General features: G+C 35.2%; 1 protein-coding gene across 14 annotated transcripts in view; it reads left to right on the forward strand.

The window, feature by feature from the left end:
* FAAH2 (fatty acid amide hydrolase 2) overlaps positions 1-21,017 on the forward strand; it is a 367,606-nt gene that overhangs the window by 299,992 nt on the left and 46,597 nt on the right. For 8 of the 14 annotated variants that reach the window (NR_148564.2, NR_148557.2, XM_011530767.4 and 5 more), the window contains one exon: positions 10,336-10,455. The exons of the other annotated variants lie outside the window; for them this stretch is intronic. Coding sequence is in view for 6 of the 8 variants with exons in the window: in XM_011530767.4 (XP_011529069.1) it covers positions 10,336-10,455 (120 nt within the window). In the remaining 2 variants the exon portion in view is untranslated. The remainder of the gene's footprint in view (positions 1-10,335; positions 10,456-21,017) is intronic. 14 annotated transcript variants of the gene reach the window in all.

Raw genomic sequence — 21,017 nt, forward strand, 5'->3', positions numbered from 1 at the left:
TCTTCTTATAAGGCCACAGTCCTATCATATTAAAGCCTCACTCTTATGATCTCATTAAATCTTAAAGATTATCTCTAGATACAGTCACATTAAGGGTTAGGGTTGCGACATATAAATTTGGTGAAAGAAGGGACACAATCCAGTCCGTAGGAGTGAAAATGTGGTAATAGTGAATTTGTTGAGCGTGGGTCCATTGACACACTTCATTTGCTGTGAAATGAGTTCCTTGATTAGAAGAGGCATTATGATGGGGAAATAAAGCAATGTTTTCCCAATAAGTCTAGAGTAGTTGCTACTTCTTACCTACTAAATCCAATGAGAATTATGTTGCTGATTTAATGGACCAGTGCAATGCCTTGTGTAAGGAAAAGGCAAAGTCCTACAAACTAAATTATTGCAAGGAGCTGAAGAGTCCTGCTCCTGAGGTACGATATTGTATTGCTTGCTTTGTTAGCTGAAACAAACTGCTTCCGGCTGTCTTTACTAACAGACATAGGAAAAAAAAAACATTCTTTTAGTCAATAGCTCTCTACCAGATACCAGGGGATGTGTTAATTTGCTCTAGCAGTGAACCCACATTTGGCACAACAGCTGTTTGGAGTTATCATCTCATCAAGCTCACAATAATCCATTGTCATTCTCCAGGATCCATCTGTTTTCTGCACAGGCCAAATAGGAGATATGTGAGTTAAATGGGGATGTGATGGGAATTACCACCCCTGCATCCTTTAAGTTCTTGATGGAACTGGTCTTTGCAATCCCTCCAGGAAGGCAGTACTGATTTTGGTTTACTATTTTCCTAGATAGGAGCAGTTTTAGTTGCTTCTATTTATCCTCTACCATGACAACAGCACTCACTCCATAGGTCAGGGAAGTGATGTGGGAATTCTGCCAGTTGCTGAGTATATCTATTCAAATTATGCACTGCAGAGCTGAGGAAATAATCGCAAGATGGTTTCATGGACTCACTGTACACGCTGTGAAATGAATGTCAGCTAAACCTATGATCTGATGGTCTGACAGAGATTTTGTCTCTTCTGCCTGTCCACTGAGCTCAGGTTCACTCCATTGTTCCTTCTCTTCTGCTCCAGGAGGCCCAGGTGTCTATGCCATTGCCTCTGTCCCTCTGTGGCCTACAGGTGATAAAAGATTTGCAGGGAGGACACAAGGACACTCTGGGAGGCTGGAAATGATTATGGATTAGAGGCTTTGTTATCACACCACACCCACCTGAAAATAGCAAAATAGCAGGTAGAGAGTCACACTGTAAAATTTTATCCAAGAAGGAACATGAGAGCTGGACATAAAAGTGAAATAAACTTCAGAAACTTTAAAAATTTTAGCCAGCAGCAGCCCATGCTATGGGTGGGTCCAATGGAAATTTGTGAGTGAGTCACCAGTGTGTAAGAGGGGGAGAGAATTTCTCTCTGATACATATTTTCATTGGGGAACTGGGAAATCCAGGCCACGAGGGAGCTCCTTGATCCTACCAAGCACAGGATCTGACTTGGTGAGCCGTGAGGAGGCTATGAGGAGTGGCATTGGGAAGTGCTTTGTGTGCACTTCTATACTCTACCACTAATAGAAGGAGGACATTTCTAATCCTAACTCATAGAGAACTGCACGGAAATCTACTATCCAGAATGGGTGAAAGTCTCCGGTTTGGCAAGTCTCTGGACTGAGATTTGCAATCTAGTCTCATGTGGGGAAGGAGACTTCATGGACAGAACTGAGAGGTGAGTGTGGCATGGGCATGAGCTGCAGGTGCAGAAATTGGGAGCTCTTCCCTTGGCAGGACTAGACCAGCATGGATGTGGCCTGGGAGCCTCAGTTTTGTTCCAATCAGGGAGTTCGGCAGCCTGGGACAATTTAATGATCTGAAGGCAAACTGTTTGTGTCTCGTCTGGCTGTTTTAGCTTGCTGCCAATGGTAGGTTGCAGGAGAGAGCTCCACCAGGTTGAGAGTGTGGAAGCAATGTGGGACCCACTGCCACATGCTAGGGTTTGAATTCAAAGCTGCCCCTTTCTTCATGCATGCTCTTTGGCACAGCAGAGGTTCCTTCACTCCTTCCTGGAGCATTGCCCCAGTGGTGTTAGAATTGCTATCTAACTCCTGTCTGGGCTGGTGCTTGTGCGTGCCATTGGGGAGCCTAAGCATGGACTTGCCTAGCCCAGTCCCACTCAGCTTTGCCCCTTTCACCTGCCTTGGATACAGACAACAGGACCACGCCCCCAGGGAGCTCTATAGCCTAGCCCATTTTCTGAGATATCTGAGTATTTATCCTGGTAAACAAAGCTCAAGCTTGAACCCCACAGCCACGACCACAGCTGGCTCTCACCTGAAAGTACCACCTAATGAACAGGAGGACAAACTGCATAGTCCATTACAACATCGGCCGACACAATAGCATAGCACTCAGAAAGGAGATATGATCTGTGTGACATCTGCTGCCTTCATTGCCCACACAACCCCAGCTACTCAGTAGGTCTTGAACCCACTTACCCACCTGGTACATTAAGACTACAATTGGCATTTGAGAAAGCCACCACACTGAGGCTATTTATGACTAAGAAAATTAAACAAATTCTACACTACTCCCCTGCTACTCCAGTCAGTCCTTTTTTTGGTGTCCACCACTGAAGGACGTGAGGACAGGTTTGCCTCTTCAAATTCTGCACAGCATTACCCCATCTCTGGGGCTGAGCATAGAACCCAGGCCACTGGGCATTTCACAGACTACTCCATTGCTTGAGGCACAGGAGATCTTCTCCGTGTAAACAAAGACCCCTACTGCTTCTGCCACAGCTGGCTGGCTCTTACCTGTAAGCAACACCTACAGCCCTGAAGTTTGAACTAAGCAACCCAATATAAAATCAGCTGACACAAGCTTGAGGTATAGAGAAAAATATCTGGGAACCAGTCCCAGATAAACTTCCCAAGACCTCTGCCACCCCAGAGACACAGGAGAACATAAGCCTATTCACATATTCAGTACACTGCTACTACAACCAGCATTTGAGAAACACATTAAAACTGTCTATAACCAAGGAATTCTTATAGAGTGCTTACCACTAAAAACACTTAGAAGCAAAGCCAAACAACCCTACTCAACAAACATTATAGTCATATCTCCAAAGGGAATAAATATGGCCTTTATAAGCAAAAGTAAATTTAAAAATAACAAGAGAAAATATCTCCAGATGAGGAGAAAGCAGTGTAACAATTCTGGAAATATGAAAAAATGTGGGTGTTATGACATTCCCAAACAAGCACACCAACTTGGTAGCAATGGATCCTAATCAAAATGAAATTTTTGAAATACCACGTAAAGAATTCAAAACATTAATTTTAAAGATACTCAATGAAATCAAAGAGAAAGCTGAAAAGCAATACAAAGAAATAAAAAATCAATTAAGGATATAAGTGAGAAATTTACCAAAAAGATAGATATTAAAAAACAAAAAAATCTGAAAATAAAAAATTAGAAAGGAATTACAACATACAATTAAAACCTTCAACAGTAGACTAGGCCAGGTAGAATAAAGAATCTCAGAACTTGAAGATAGGTCTTTCAAATTAATCCACTCTGACAAAAAAAGAAATAGTTTCAAAAAAAGCCTTCAAAAAGTTTGGAACTATGTAAAATCTCCAAACCTATGAATCGTAGGTATTCCCAAGAGAGAATAAAAAACACAACAAGATTGCAAAATCTATTCGAGGAAATAGTTGAGAAAAGCTTCCCTAGTCTAGTAAAAGGTCTAGATATCCAGATACAAGAGACTCAAGGAATTCTGGAAAAATTATTGCAAGAAAGTACTTACCATGGCATATAATAACCAGACTACAATTGAAGTGAAGGAAAAAATCCTAAAATTAGCAACAGAAACGTTTTGAGTCACCTATAAAGGAAAGCCCATCACATAAACAGCAGACTTCTCAACAGAAACTTTATAAGCCTGAAGAAATTGAAGTTCTATTTCTAGAGTTCTTCATGAAAAAAACACTTTTAAATACGAATTTTGAATCCTGCTCTAATGTTTATAAATGAAGAAATGAAGTATTTTCTAGATGAACAAATGCTGAGTGAATTTATCATGACTATACTCGTTCTACAGGAAATGCTGACAGAGTTCTAAATAAGGATAAAAAAGTCAATACTCTCCATCATAAGAGCACACAATAGTATAAAACTCACAGGCCAAAGAATATACGAAAAAACTAGATAACAATTAAGATTATGACAGGAACAAAACGTGACACATCAATATCAGCCTTGAATGTGTGAATGAATTAAATACTCCACTTAAAAGACACAATTGGCAGAATAGATGTTAAAAACATGATCTATTATTTTATTCTTGAAAAAGACTCACCTTACTCATAAATACAATTATAGACTGAAGGTAATGGGTGAAGACAGATGTTCTGTGCAAACAGACACCAAAAGTAAGCAAGAGTATCATGTGTTTCATATGTTTATAACTGGCTTTTGTAATAAGGTGATACTGACATCATAGAATGAGATAGAAATAATCCCTTCCATATTGATTTTATACCTATGTCAGTTAAAACTGGCTTTAAATCAAGAACAGTAAAAAAAGGTCAGTATATAATGATAAATGGATCAATTCAACAAGAAGATGTAATAAATCCTAAGTATATATGCACCCAGAATCATAAAACAAATATTACTAGAACTAAGGAAAGATATAGCAATACAATAATAGCTGGAGACTTCAACACTCCAGTGACAGCACTACACAGATTATCAAGCCAGAAAAAGGAAAAACAAATGCAAGAGTTAAACTGGACGTTAGACCAAGTAGACCTAATAGACATTTAAAGAACATACTCAACAAATTTAGAATTCCTCCAATCGGCTCATGGAAAATTCTCCAGGATAGACCATATTTTAGGCCACAAAACAAGCCTCAATAAGTTTTAAGAAATCAAACTTATAAAAAATATCTTTTCAGACCACAGTGGAATAAAACTAGAAATCAATTCCAAAAGGAACCCTTGAACTGTAAAAATACATGGAAATTAAACAACATGTTCCTGCATAATCTTTGAGTCAATGAAAAAATGTAGACATAAATTAAATAATATTTGAAACAAATGAAAATGGAAACAAAACATACCTAAACCTTTGTAATACAGCAGAACTGGTATTTACATGGAAGTTTATAATGTTAAATGCCTACATCAAAGTAATAAAAAGACTACAAATTAACAATCTACCATCACAACTCAATGAACCAGAAAATATGAACAAACCAAACCCAAATCTAATAGAAGAAAAATAACAAACATCAGAGCAAAACTAAATGAAATTTAGAGCAAATAAACAATATTAAAAAGCAATGAAATGAAGTTTATTTAAAAAAATAATGAAAATTGACAGAACTCTCTCTAGAATAACCATGAGAAGAAGAGAGATGATTCAGATAAACACAATTGGAAATGAAAAAGGAGGCATTATAACTGATATCACAAAAATAAGATAACTAGAGAGTAGCATGAACAACTCTATGCTAATAAGCAAGAAAAACTAGAGGAAATGGATAAATTTCTGGAAACATACGACCTCCTAAGATTGAAACGGAAAAAAATAGAAATCATGAGCAGATCAGAAATGAGTACTGAGATTGAGTAATAATAATATTAAAAAACTTCCCAACAAAGAAAGGCCCAGGACCAAATGGATTTACAGCTCAATTCTACCCAATGTGCAAAGCAGAACTTATTCCAGTCCTACTGAAACAATTTAAAAAAAAAATCAATATGGAAGGGATTATTTCTATCTCATTCTATGATGCCAGTATCACCTTATTAACAAAGCCACATATAAACATATGAAAATAGAAGAGAAAAGAAATCTACAAACCAATATCCCAGATAAACATAGATGTGAAAATCCTCAACAAAATTTTAACTAACTGAATCCAACACCACATCAAAAGGATAATACATCATGATCAAGTTGGTTTTAACCCAGAGATGAAAGGATGGTTCAACATACACAAATCAATAAAAGTAATTCACCACATAAACAGAATTAAAAGCAAAAGCCATATGATCATCTCCATAGATGCAGAAAAAAATTAATAGAATTCAGCATAACTTTATTATAAAAACTCTTTAAAAACTAGGCATAGAAGGAACGTACCTCAAAGTGATAAAAACCGTATATAAGAAGCCCATAGCCAGCCTTATACTGAATGGGGAAAAGTTGAAAGCATTCTTTCTAAAAACTGAAACAAGACAAAAATGCCCATTTTCACTGCTCCTTTTCAACGTAATACTGGCAATTGTAGCCAGGGCAGTCAGGCAAGAGAAAGAAATAAAAGCCCTCTGAATTTAAAAAGAAGTCAAATTATTTCTGTTTGCTGATAATATGACCTTATACATAGAAAACTTTAAAGACTCTACCCCAAAGACTCCTAGATTTGATAAATGAATTCAGTAAAGTTTCAGGATACAAAATCTATGTACAAAAATTACTATTTACCAGTAATAATCAAGCTTAGAACCAAATCAAGTTGTCAGTTTGTTAGCATTTACAATAGCTGTAAAAATAAAATATCTGGAATGCATTTAACCAAGGAAGTGAAAAATACCTACAAGGAAAACTATCAAACACTGATTAAAGGAATTTGAGATGACAAAAATAAATTGAAAAAATCTTATGCTCTTGAATAAGAGGAATGAATATCATTAAAATGTCTATATTATCTAAAGCAATCTACAGATTCATTTCAATTCTCATCAAAATACCAATGTAATTTTGCACAGAATTAGAAAAAAATCACCAAATTCATATGGAACCACAAAAGAGCTTGCATAGCCAAAACAATCCTATGCAAAAGGAACTAAGTCGGATGCATCACATTACCTAATTTCAAATTATATTACAAAGCCATAGAAACTACAACAGCATGGTATTGGTATAAAAATAGACACATAGATCAAAAGAATAGAAGAGAGAACCCAGAAATTAAGCCACATAACTACAGCCAACTGGTCTTCGATAAAGTCAACAAAAGATAGGCTGTGAAAACAACATCCTATTCAAAAAGGGTTCTTGGAAAATTAGGTGGCCATACACAGAAGAATAAATATGGACCTGTATCTCTCACCATATGCAAAAATTATCACAAATGTATTAAAGGCTTAAGTGTAAGACCAAAACTATAAAAATACAGGAAGAAAACAGGGAAAACTATTCTGAACATCATTTTTGGCAAAGACATCATGACAAAGACCTTAAAAACAAATGCACAATACCAAAAATAGACAAATGGGACTTAAACTAAAGTGCTTCTTTACAACAAAAGAAATTATCAACAAAATAAACAGACAACGTGCAGAATGGAATAAACTATTTACAAACAATACATCCAATAAAATATTAATAACTAGGTTCCACAAAGAACTCAGACATCTCAACAACAACAAATAATTCTGCCAAGGCCAGGTGCAGTGGCTCACGCCTGTAATCCCAGCACTTTGGGAGGCCGAGGTGGGCGGATCACGAGGTCAGGAGATCGAGACCACCGTGGCCAACACGGTGAAACCCCATCTCTACTAAAAATACAAAAAAAAAATTAGCTGGGCGTGGTGGCGGGTGCCTGTAGTCCCAGCTACTTGGGAGGCTGAGGCAGGAGAATGGCGTGAACCTGGGAGGTGGAGCTTGCAGTGAGCCCAGATGACGCCACTACACTCCAGCCTGGGCCATAGAGTGAGATTCCATCTCAAAAAAAAAAAAAAAAAATTCTGCTAAAATGTAGGCAAATGGCATAAACAGACTTTTTCAAAAGAAGACATACAAATGGCCAACAAACACATAAAAAACTGCTTAACATTATTAATCAATGAAATGCAAATTAAAATTTCGATTAGCTATTGTATTACACCACAGTAGCTATTACTAAGAAGTCAAAAAATAACAGATATTGGCAAGTATGGAGAAAAAAGGAAGCACTCATAAGCTTTAGTAGAAATATTAATGAATATAACTTGTAATTAATACAATACATAGGGTTCTCAAAGAATTAAAAATAGAACTACCATTCTATGCAATAATTCCACTACTGGTTATCTACCAAAGGGAAATAAATTTTATACAAAAGGATATCTACACTCATGTGTTTATACCAGCATTATTCACAATAGAAAAGATATAGAATCAACTAAACTGTCAATCAATGGATTATCGGATAAAGAAAATGTGGTGTATATATACAATGGATTGTATTCAGCCATTAAAAAAGAGAATAAAGTCATTTTTTTTTTTCCAGCAACATCAATGGAACTGGAGGCCATTGTCTTAAGTGAATGGTTTGGAAACAGAAAGGCAAATACCACATATTTTCACTTATAAGTGAGAGCTAAATAATGTATAGAACTGGACATAAGGAGTAAAATAATAGACACTGGAGACTCAAAAGGATGGGAGGGATCAGAGGGGGTGAAGGATGAACAATTACTTAGCGGATACAATGTACATTATTAGGTTGATGGCTACACTGAAACCCCAGACTTCACCATTATGCAATATATCCATGTAACAAAACTACTTTCTCCTAAATTATAAATATTAAAACAAAAACAAAAACACCTCTATTGTTCACCTGACCTCCATAAGCCACTATTCTGATTGTAGACTATAGTGTCATTTTAGGTCTCCTGGCATTAGTATCAGTTCAGGACCTGTGTCCAATATTCTCCAAAACTTCTGATTATTTTTCCCTAATTCTTCCATGCCATAATTTATTTTGGGGAAAGCTGTGAGAAAGATTGACATTATATGTTGTTGGGCGTGTGGTGGGATGCTTCTTCCAGGGGACCCATTCTTCCCTTCATTCAAGGGTTGTGAGTCTGTAAACTGGCTCAAGCCTGGGAATTGATTGAAGGGCCATGACTCTGTTTTATGTTACAAGCTAGAATTTTGTTCAATTGACCTAGGACTCCTCTGCTTATACAGATTTAGTAAGAATATAATGGAATTATTATCTGTCTCACTACTAGAAACATGATTAACTAACAATGTCATAGGTCTGCATCAGTCAGATTATTCTGATTGCTGCTTTGACTCTTCTGCTTATGTAGTTTTTGTCAGTTAAGTGCTGCCACTTTTCCCCTGCCACTTGGGAATCCAATTATTTCTATTAAATTTATTTTTTTTAGTTTAATGGTATCAATCCATGTAATTTCTGACCTACAGAGAAAAGTGATCTTCAAAGACGATAGGGTTCCCACAAAAATTTATTTCTCGTAATTGTGGCTAAGAATTGTTCTCAGTACTCTCCCAAGGTCGGGGAGAAGATCTTAAATGATAAATGTCGCTAAGAATTTGGATTCTTTCCTCTACAGTATGTCAAGGCAGGACTGGAATTTCAACTTCATTTAGTGTAGGACACCTTTTGGTCTATGTGTTTCTAAACTTTTTTTAGAGTATTTTCTGACACACTGAGCTGCAACACTAAATCGAGACTCTCTCCTTCTTGGGCTCATATCAATACATTTGGCCTGTTTCAGGTTTGTGTTTCTTCCACAATTATCCATACTTTTAATATCCATTGTCATACGTATTCCCTGGATTTATGTCTATATAAATTAGAAAAATAAACATGACCTGACAAGACTTGAGTCTAGTTATAGGTCTAGAAGCAAAGAAGGGTGGTATGGTGGGTCCTAACAATGATCAGCAGTGTCTTACTTCTGCTTCTTCTCAGAGCTTAAGTTGTATTTTATTTCGCTGCATGTAATCTCTTGCTCACAGGTACCCAGATATCTGCAGTAACCCAGCAATCCATTTGTGCAATAGCTTCCACCACTGCTCTAAGCATTTTCCAGCCTACAGTCTAAACTATGCTATCATTCCAGTTAGTATTCCAAGTCAGAAAAGACACAACAGTCCCTCAGACTGTCCCCAGAGAAGCTAGAACTTTACAAGCAAGTTCCATTCATATTCTTTCATTCCAATGGAGGAACCAATAATTTGATGGATTCTTTCAGACACTCAGTGCTGTGTTAGAGAGGGAGTGGGACAAGGGCAAGCAGAAATGACATGAAATTTTCTAGCATTTCCTTGGTTGCTTCAGCTTCTTAGCTTGTTTCAAGAGTTCTCACAAAACTACTTTGCTCTATATATTTTGGGGTGTTTTGTTTTGTTTTTGTTTTTTTGTTTTTTTGTTTTTTTGTTTTTTTTGGTGTTTCCATGGGGCAATGAGGGCCTGGCGCTTTCTGCTCTGCCATCTTGCTGATGTCACTCTTCAGTAGTATCTCCTCTTCTCATCATGTTTGTCTGTTTTTATATCTTTCTTTTATAAGGTTGTGGTTCACCTTGAAACTATTCTAGGAGCCTCAGTTCAACATGTTAAACTGAAGAAAATGAAGTACTCTTTTCAGTTGTGGATCGCAATGATGTCAGCAAAGGGACATGATGGGAAGGTATTTTTACCTCTTTCTTTACTTACTTTTTTCTTTGTGTAAACATTTATTGAGCTTCTATTGTGGTCCATATGTTAGAGGTGTAGAGAAAAGAAACTCATGAAAAAAATAAGTAAAATAGTAAAATATTTAAAGAAAGCACAGTTTGGTGAATGCCTATACGGAATAGGCATATATGCTATTCACAGAGAGTGTGCCCATTCCTATATGGAAATCAGTGAAGGCTTCTTGATGGAGGAATTGCAGTCTCCCAAATCTTGAATGATTTGGAAACCTTAACCAGGTAGAGAAGAGATAAAGATTATGCCAGGCAGAGGGGAAACCACGGCAAGAACAAGGACACAGGGGAATGAAGCTAATCTTAGTATGTTGTATGCTAGGTACTCAGAACATGTAGGTTTCAATAAAGCCTTAAGTGATTAGGTAACTTCAGTTGTCAAGTTCCACCTTTACCTTCCCCCTGAGATGTTTTAAAAATACATGTACAGAGCTATCTGCCCATCTCCTGTTTATTTTTCCCTTCCTTTTCATATCTGCTATGATTAGAAGCTGATACAGGTACTTGTGAAAGAAGCTTCCCTTATGCCAGGTTTTTTCAGGCTTGCTGAAGACTTTTAATATGAACACTTTGAGAACTATAAGATAAATTCAACATTCTGGAGAATTTAACTTTTGTGAATATAGGAATGTTTTCTGCCAATGGGAATATTTGTGTTAGAGCATGACACATCCAAATTTGAAGTGCAGGCTACCTCCTAGTTTTGTTATCTTGGGCAAGTTACTTAGCTATTCTGCAGTTTACTCATACGTAAAATTAAGCTATTGATACCCATTTTACAGCTTTATTTTGTGGATTAACAATATTTTTTATAAGATATCTCACATACAATAGCCCTTCCATAAGGCAGAACTCACACGACCCTCTCTACCTTAAAAAAAAAAAAAGTCACTTTTAAAATTTTTTCAAATACCCAGTTTTCTTTGCAGAAACACTTTGGAAATCTCTCAGAACAAAACGTTTATACAAATTCACAAGGGGAGGAGGTTTGGCTCTGAGATGAAAGTTTATAATCAGAACTTTAGATCAAAACTAAAGCTGAAATCAAAAACAAAAAGTTTATTTTCAGTTCACTTCCAGAAGACACTGTCTTATAATTTGGATAAACTGTTAACATACATGCTGACTGTCAAAACTGGTCCTGTAATTACAAATCTGGAAAGAAAAAGAGGGGGGAAAAATCTGCTCTCCTCTTACTTTTTTATGATACCAGATTTAGAGCTGGGATTATGATGCCAGATTTAGAGCTGGTGGTCATAACCACTTTACCATGTTGCTCATTAATAATCACTTAAAATAGGTAGAAAAGGGATGTGGCCATTTTCTAACCCATACTTTTTATGTTAATGTAGCTCTTTTTTAATTACAAACCTAATTTAAAATTTTTAAATTTTGTGACTACATAATAGTTGTATGTATTTATGGGATATATAAGATGTTATGACACATACATACAATGTGTAGTTATGAAATCTGTAACTGAAGTATCCAACAGTTTAAACATTTATTATTTCTTTGTGGTGTAACTTTCCAATTCCACTCTCTTGTTTTATAATATACAACAAAGTACTTTAAACTATAGTCACCCAATTGTGCTATCAAACACTAGACCTTATTTCTTCTCTTTTTATACTCAATAATCATCCCCACTTCTCTTGCAGTTTCTTGTGCATTTGCACTATAACATTTATTTCTTTTTATACTATCTCTTAAAAAATGGTTGTAGTTATTATCATAGTCATATCTTCAAGAACAAAATTCCACATTCAATGAAAGTAAATTCAAAAATAAGAACAATCCCCTATTCCCCTGGTTGCTCAGAAATCAACGTATAGATGCAGAAAGCCTGAAAAAGAAATGTACTATAACACTCTCAAATTAAAACAATAATTCTTCAGCAATAGACTCTGTGCAAAAGAAATCTTCAAAATGCCAGATAAGGAAATCAAAATATTGACTTTAAAAAAGGCTTAATGAAATTAAATTGATTTTTTTTTTTTTTTTTTTGAGACAGAGTCTCACTCTGTTGCCTAGGCTAGATTGCAGTGGTGCAATCTTGGCCTACTGCAACCTCTGCTTCCCTTGTTTTCCTGCCTCAGCCTCCTGAATAGCTGGGGCTACAAGCACACGCCACAACACTTGGCTAATTTTTGTATTTTTAGTAGAGATGGGGTTTCACCATTTTTGGCCAGGCTAGTCTCAAACTCCTGACCTCAGGTGATCCAATCATGCTGACCCCTAAAGTGCTGGGATTACAGGCACGAGCCACCACACCTGGACCTTAAATGGAAATTTGTAAAGCAATACAAATATATTAGAATATCAACTTAGGCTGTTAATATGAAATTTACTAAGAAGGTAGATTTTCTAAAAAAATGTAATAGTAACAGAAATTTTGGAACTTATAAATTCATTGAAGGGGTTACAAAAACATTCCAAAGACCAAGCAGAAGGAAGACTCTCGAAATATGAAGACACATCTTTTGAAGTAATCCAATCAAACAAAAATAAAGACAAATGAACAAAGCCCTTAAGATGAGTGTGCAAAAATAACAATACTTACAATTTGTTGGTATTACTGAGGTAGAAAGAAAGATAAAAAATAAGTTTAGAAATCCTATTTAAGAAAATTATTTATGGAAGCATCTCAAGTGTAGCAAGAGATTTAGACATCCAGATACAGTAGTCCCAGCAATCCAAGACAAATACATTGCAAAAGGCATATTAAATCAGTATATCTAAAGTCAACATAAAAGAAATACTTCTATGATCAGCAAGAAAAATGCATCTAGTCACCTATGAAAGAAACCCCATCAGACTAAGAATGAGCTTCTTAGCAGAAACTTCGCAGGTCAGAAGAAAATGGAATGGGATTTACAAATTGCTGAAAGAAAAAAATACAATAAAAATGTTTATATCCAGCATGATTAAGCTTCATAAATGAAGGAGAAATAAAGTCTTTTCCAGACAAGCAATTGCTGAGGGAATTTATCACCACTAGAGCAGACTTAAAACAAATGCTCAAAAATGTCCTTGACATGGAAATAAAAGGTATATGTTCATGATTATGATAACTCATTAACATATAAAACTCAATGATATTATAAAACAATCACATAAAGAAGGAAGAAAAGTCAAGTTGTTAACACAACAAAATTTCACCAAACCATAAAGACAAACAGAGAAAAAGAAACAATGTATAAAACAACTGAAAAGATTTAGTGACCTGACAGAAAATAAACCTCATGTATAAATGTTAACCTTGAACTCAAATGGATTAAGTACTCTTCTAAAGAGAGATAGATTGGCAGAAAATATAAGAAACATGATCCATCTAAATGCTGCTTCCAAGAAATTCACCTTCTCTGTAAATACATACATAGACTGAGAGAAAAGGGTTGAAAAAAGATATTTTATGGAAATAGAAACTAAAAGAGAGTAGGAATAGCTTTACCTATACTAGATATAGCAGATATTAAATTAAAAAGTTAAAAAAGACAAATAAGGTCATTGTATAATGATAAAAGGATCAATGCAACAGGAGGATATAACATTACTCAGTATATATACACTCAATACTGGAGCAACCAGATTCATAAAACAAATATTACTACATCTAAAGAGAGAGGTGGAAAATAATACAATAATAGTGTGAGACTTCAACTGCGCACTCACAGCATTAGACATCATTAAGACGGGAAATCAACAAAGAAATATTGAACTTATTTGGACTTTAGGTGCAATAGACCTAACACACTTTGACAGAAAAGTCTACTCAACAACTGTGAAATGTACATTTTTTTCACATAAGCACATGGAACATTCTCCAAGATAGACCATGTATGACCTTGTATAGACCTTGTATTTTAGGCCACAAAACAAGTCTCAATGAATTTTTTAACATTAAAAACATATCAAGAATCTTCTCAGACCACGCTTGAATAAAACTGAATATCACTACTTTTGGGAACTTTGGAAACTATACAAATACATGGAAATCAAACATGTTCCTTAATGATTATTGTGTCAATGAAGAAATTAAGGTGGAAATTATAGCAATTTTTGAAACAAATGAAAAGGAAAACACAACACATCAAATTCTGTGGGATAAAGAAAAAGGAGTTCCCAAAGGGATGTTCATAGTATTAAATGCCTATACTAAAAAAGTAGGAACATTACAAATTAACAACCTAATGATGGACTGCCATGAACTAGAAACACAAGAACAAACTAAACCGAAAAGTGGCAGAAGAAAATGAGTTAAAAAAAAAAATTCTAGTAGAACTAAGTAAAATAGAGACCAAAAAGGAAAGGTAGAAGTACAAAGGGTCACTGAAACAGGAAGTGTTGGTTCTTAAAAAAGGTAAACAAAATAATCCACTATCCAGATTAATCATGAAAAAAAGAGAGATTACAACAAAATCAGAAATGAAAAAAGAGAGATTACAACAAAATCGGAAAAGCAAAAGAAGAAATTATAAATCACATCACAGAAATACAAACATTCTTAAAAATTATTATTAAGAACTCTACTTCCACAAACAAGAAAACCTAGAGGAAATAAATTAATTTCTGGAAACATGCAACCTCCCGTTTGAATCAGGAGGTAATAGAGAACTTGAGCAGACCTATAATGAATAGCAACATTGAATCAGTAATAAATAATTTGTAACAAAGGAATCTCAGAACTAAATGGATTTTCCATACACACAAAGAAGAATAAACAGTTCTTTTGAAATTGCTCCAAAAGTTCAAAGAGGAGAGAATTCTTCATAACTCATTCCATGACACCACTATCACCCTGATACCAAAACCATACAAGAACACAACAACCACAGAAAAACTACAGATCAGTAGTCTGAAGAGCATAGATGCAAAACTCCTCAGCAAAATACTAGAAAACCAAATTCAACATCATAACAAAAAGATAATACGCCATAAACAAGTGGGTTTTATATTAGGAATATAAGGATGGTTTAACATATACAAATCAATAAAAGTGATATATTACATAAACAAAAATAACAAAACCATATAATTATCTCAAGAGATGCAGGAAAAAGCATTTAATAAAATTTAGAATCTTTTTATGATAAACAGTCTCAACAATCTAGGCATAAAATGAACATATCTCAATGTAATAAAGGCCACATACAACAAACCCAAATCTAATATCACACTGAATGGAGAAAAGTTGAAAGCATTTCCTCTAAGAACTAGAACAAGACAAGGATGCCCACTTTCACCACTCCTATTCAACACAGTACTGAAAGTCCTAGCCAGAGCAATCTGGCAAAAGAAAGAAATAAAAGATATCCAAACTGGAAAAGAGGAAGTGAAATTTTTTCCTGTTATCTGACTATATAATCTTATATCTTGAAAAACCTAAAGACTCCAAAAAGAATCCCCTAGAATTGATAAAAGAATTCAGTAAAGTTTCAGGATACAAAATACATGTATAAAAACAAGTAGCATTTTTTTACACCAATAAAAGTGTAGCTGAGAATAAAATCAACAATGCAATTCCATTTATAATAGTTACAAAAAATAAAGTAGAACTCCTTGTTAATTAATAAGATGAAATATATATAATGTATATATTACATATAAATATATAACATATTTATATATTATATATTATATATATTATTTATATTTATATTTATATTGAAATATAATTATATATTATATATTAAATATGTTATAATCAGATTTATATTTTTAAATTATATAATATATAAATATAATTATATGTACTTTTACTGATATATATCTGTATACATATATACATACGTATATGTATACACATATATACATACGTACATGTATACACATATATACATAGGTACATGTATACACATATATACATACGTATATGTATACACATATGTACATATATACATACGTATATGTATACACATATGTACATATATACATATGTATATATATACACATATATACGTATATATGTATATACATACATACACGTGTATATATGTATTGTCCAATGTATTGAATTGTGTATATGTATACACGTGTATATATATTTGTGTATATATATATACACACATATACACAGTAGTTTGTAGTTTTACTGATATCTATATCTATATCACTATATATATATCAGTATATATATCAGTATATATAGATATAAGTATATAGATATAGATATAGATATAGATATCAGTAAAACTACAGACTACTGATGTAAGAAAAAGTAGATGACACAAATAAATGGAGAAACATCCCATGCTATTGGATTGGAAGAATTAATATATACAAAATTATATATATATATATCAGTAAAACTACAAAATGCTGATGAAAGAAAAAGTAGATGACACAAATAAATGGAGAAACATCCCATGCTATTGGATTGGAAAAATATAAACAAAATTACCATACTGCTCTAAGCAATCTACAGATTTAATACTTTTCCTATCATAACATCAGTGTCATTTTTTCGAAGAATTAGAAAACATTCTTTTTTTATTTTTATTTTTATTTCTATTATTGTTATACTTTAAGTTTTAGGGTACATGTGCACAATGTGCAGGTTTGTTACATATGTATACATGTGCCATGTTGGTGTGCTGCACCCATTAATTTGTTATTTAACATTAGGTGTATCTCCTAATGCTATCCCTCCCCCCTCCCCCCACCCCACAACAGTCCCCAGAGTGTGATGTTCCCCTTCCTGTGTCCATGTGTTCTCATTGTTCAATTCCCACCTATAAGTGAGAACATGCGGTGTTTGGTTTTTTGTCCTTGCGATAGTTTGCTGAGAATGATGGTTTCCAGTTTCATCCATGTCCCTACAAAGGACATGAACTCATCATTTTTTATGGCTGCATAGTATTCCATGGTGTATAGGTGCCACATTTTCTTAATCCAGTCTATCGTTGTTGGACATTTGGGTTGGTTCCAAGTCTTCGCTATTGCAGATAGTGACACAATAAACATACGTGTGCATGTGTCTTTATAGTAGCATGATTTATAATCCTTTGGGTATATACCCAGTAATGGGATGGCTGGGTCAAATGGTATTTCTAGTTCTAGATCCCTGAGGAATCACCACACTGACTTCCACAATGGTTGAACTAGTTTACGGTCCCACCAACAGTGTAAAAGTGTTCCTATTTCTCCACATCCTCTCCAGCACCTGTTGTTTCCTGACTTTTTAATGATCGCCATTCTAAGTGGTGTGAGATGGTATCTCATTGTGGTTTTGATTTGCATTTCTCTGATGGCCAGTGATGATGAGCATTTTTTCATGTGTTTTTTGACTGCATAAATGTCTTCTTTTGAGAAGTGTCTGTTCATATCCTTCGCCCACTTTTTGATGGGGTTGTTTGTTTTTTTCTTGTAAATTTGTTGGAGTCCATTGTAGATTCTGGATATTAGCCCTTTGTCAGATGAGTAGGTTGCAAATTTTTCTCCCATTTTGTAGGTTGCCTGTTCACTCTGATGGTAGTTTCTTTTGCTGTGCAGAAGCTCTTTAGTTTAATTAGATGCCATTTGTCATTTTTGGCTTTTGTTGCCTTTGCTTTTGGTGTTTTAGACATGAAGTCCTTGCACATGCCTATGTCCTGAATGGTATTGCCTAGGTTTTCTTCTAGGGTTTTTATGGTTTTAGGTCTAACGTTTAAGTCTTTAATCCATCTTGAACTAATTTTTGCATAAGGTGTAAGGAAGGGATCCAGTTTTAGCTTTCTACATATGGCTAGCCACTTTTCCCAGCACCATTTATTAAATAGGGAATCCTTTCCCCATTTCTTGTTTTTGTCAGGTTTGTCAAAGATCAGATGGTTGTAGATATGTGGCATTATTTCTGAGGGTTCTGTTCTCTTCCATTGATCTATATCTCTGTTTTGGTACCAGTACCATGCTGTTTTGGTTACTGTAGCCTTGTAGTATAGTTTGAAGTCAGGCAGCGTGATGCCTCCAGCTTTGTTCTTTTGGCTTAGGATTGACTTGGTGATGCGGGCTCTTTTTTGGTTACATATGAACTTAGAGTAGTTTTTTCCAGTTCTGTGAAGAAAGTCATTGGTAGCTTAATGGGGATGGCATTGAATCTATAAATTACCTTGGGCAGTATGACCATTTTCAAAATATTGATTCTTCCTATCCATGAGCATGGAATCTTCTTCTATTTGTTTGTGTCCTCTTTTATTTCGTTGAGAGGTGGTTTGTAGTTCTCCTAGAAGAGGTCCTTCACATCCCCTGTAGGCTGGATTCCTAGATATTTTATTCTCTTTGAAACAATTGTAAATGGGAATTCACTCACGATTTGGCTCTCTGATTGTCTGTTTTTGGTGTATAGGAATGCTTGTGATTTTTGCGCATTGATTTTGTATCCTGAGACTTTGCTGAAGTTGCTTATCAGCTTAAGGAGATTTTGGGCTGATAGGATGGAGTTTTCTATATATACAGTCATGTCATCTGCAAACAGGGACAATTTGACTTCCTCTTTTACTAATTGAATATTCTTTATTTCTTTCCCTTGTCTGATTTCCCTAAAGAGAACTTCCAACACTATGTTGAATAAGAGTGGTGAGAGAGGGCATCCCTGTCTTGTGCCAGTTTTCAAAGGGAATGCTTCCAGTTTTTGCCCATTCAATATGACATTGGCTTTGGGTTTGGCATAAATAGTTCTTATTATTTTGAGACACGTGCCATCAATACCTACTTTATGGAGGGTTTTTAGCATGAAGGGCTGTTGAATTTTGTCAATGGCCTTTTCTGCATCTATTGAGATAATCATGTGTTTTTTGTCTTTGGTTCTGTTTATATGATGAATTACGTTTATTGATTTGCATATGTTGAAGCAGTGTTGCATCCGAGGGATGAAGCCCACTTGATCCTGGTGGATAAGCTTTTTGATGTGCTCCTGGATTCAGTTTGCCAGTATTTTATTGAGGATTTTTGCATCAGCATTCATTAGAGATACTGGTCTAAAATTCTCTTTTTTTGTTGTTGTGTTTCTGCCAGGCTTTGGTATCAGGATGATGTTGGCCTCAGAAAATGAGTTAGGGAGGATTCCCTCTTTTTCTATTGATTGGAATAGTTTCAGAGGGAATGGTACTAGCTCCTCTTTGTACCTCTGGTAGAATTCGGCTATGAATCTGTCTGGTTCTGGATTTTTTTTGTTGGTAGGCTAATTATTGCATCAATTTCAGAACCTGTTATTGGTGTATTCAGTGATTCAAATTCTTCCTAGTTTAGTCTTGGGAGGGTGTGTGTGTCCAGGAATTTATCCGTTTCTTCTAGATTTTCTAGTTTTTTTGTGTAGAAGTGTTTATACTATTCTCTGATGGTAGTTTGTATTTCTTTGGGATTGGTGGTGCTATACCCTTTATCATTTTTTATTGCATCTATTTGATTCCTCTCTCTTTTCTTCTTTATTAGTCTTGCTAGTGGTCTATCAATTTTGTTGATCTTTTCAAAAAAACCAGCTCCTGGATTCACTGATTTTTTGAAGCGTTTTTTTTTTGTGTGTGTCTATCTCCTTCAGTTCTGCTCTGATCTGAATTATTTCTTGCATTCTGTTAGCTTTTGAATGTGTTGGCTCTTGCTTCTCTAGTTCTTTTAATTGTGATATTAGGGTGTCAATTTGAGATCTTTCTTGCTTTCTCTTGTGGGCGTTTAGTGCTATAAATTTCCCTCTACACACTGCTTTAAATGTGTCCCAGAGATTCTGGTGTGTTGTGTCTTTGTTCTCATTGGTTTTGAAGAACATCTTTATTTCTGCCTTCATTTCGTTATGTACCCAGTAGTCATTCACGAGCAGGTTGTTCAGTTTCCATATGGTAGAGCTGTTTTGAGTGAGTTACTTAATCCTGAGTTCTAGTTCGATTGCACTGTGGTCTGAGAGACAGTTTGTTATAATTTCTGTTCTTCTACATTTGCTGAAGAGTACTTTACTTCCAACTATGTGGTCAATTTTGGAATAAGTGTGATGTGGTGCTGAGAATAATGTATATTCTGTTGATTTGGGGTGGAGAGTTCTGTAGATGTCTATTAGGTCCGCTTGGTGCAGAGCTGAGTTCAATTCCTGGATATCCTTGTTAACTTTCTGTCTCACTGATCTGTCTAATGTTGAGAGTGGGGTGTTAAAGTCTCCCATTATTATTGTGTGGGAGTCTAAGTCTCTTTGTAGGCCTCTAATGACTTGCTTTATGAATCTGGGTGCTCCTGTATTGGGTGCATATATATTTAGGATAGTTAGCTCTTCTTGTTGAATTGATCCCTTTACCATTATGGAGTGGCCTTCTTTGTCTCTTTTGATCTTTGTTGGTTTAAAGTCTGTTTTATCAGAGACTAGGATTGCAACCTCTGCTTTTTTTTGTTTTCCATTTGCTTGGTAGATCTTCCTCCATCCCTTTATTTTGAGCCAATGTGTGTCTCTGCATGTGATATGGGTTTCCTGCATACAGCACACTGATGTGTCTTGACTCTCTGTCCAATTTGCCAGTCTGTGTCTTTTAATTGGAGCATTTAG

Source organism: Homo sapiens, chromosome X (genome assembly GCF_000001405.40).
Source record: "Homo sapiens chromosome X, GRCh38.p14 Primary Assembly".
In the NCBI taxonomy this organism is placed as follows: Eukaryota; Metazoa; Chordata; class Mammalia; order Primates; family Hominidae; genus Homo; species Homo sapiens.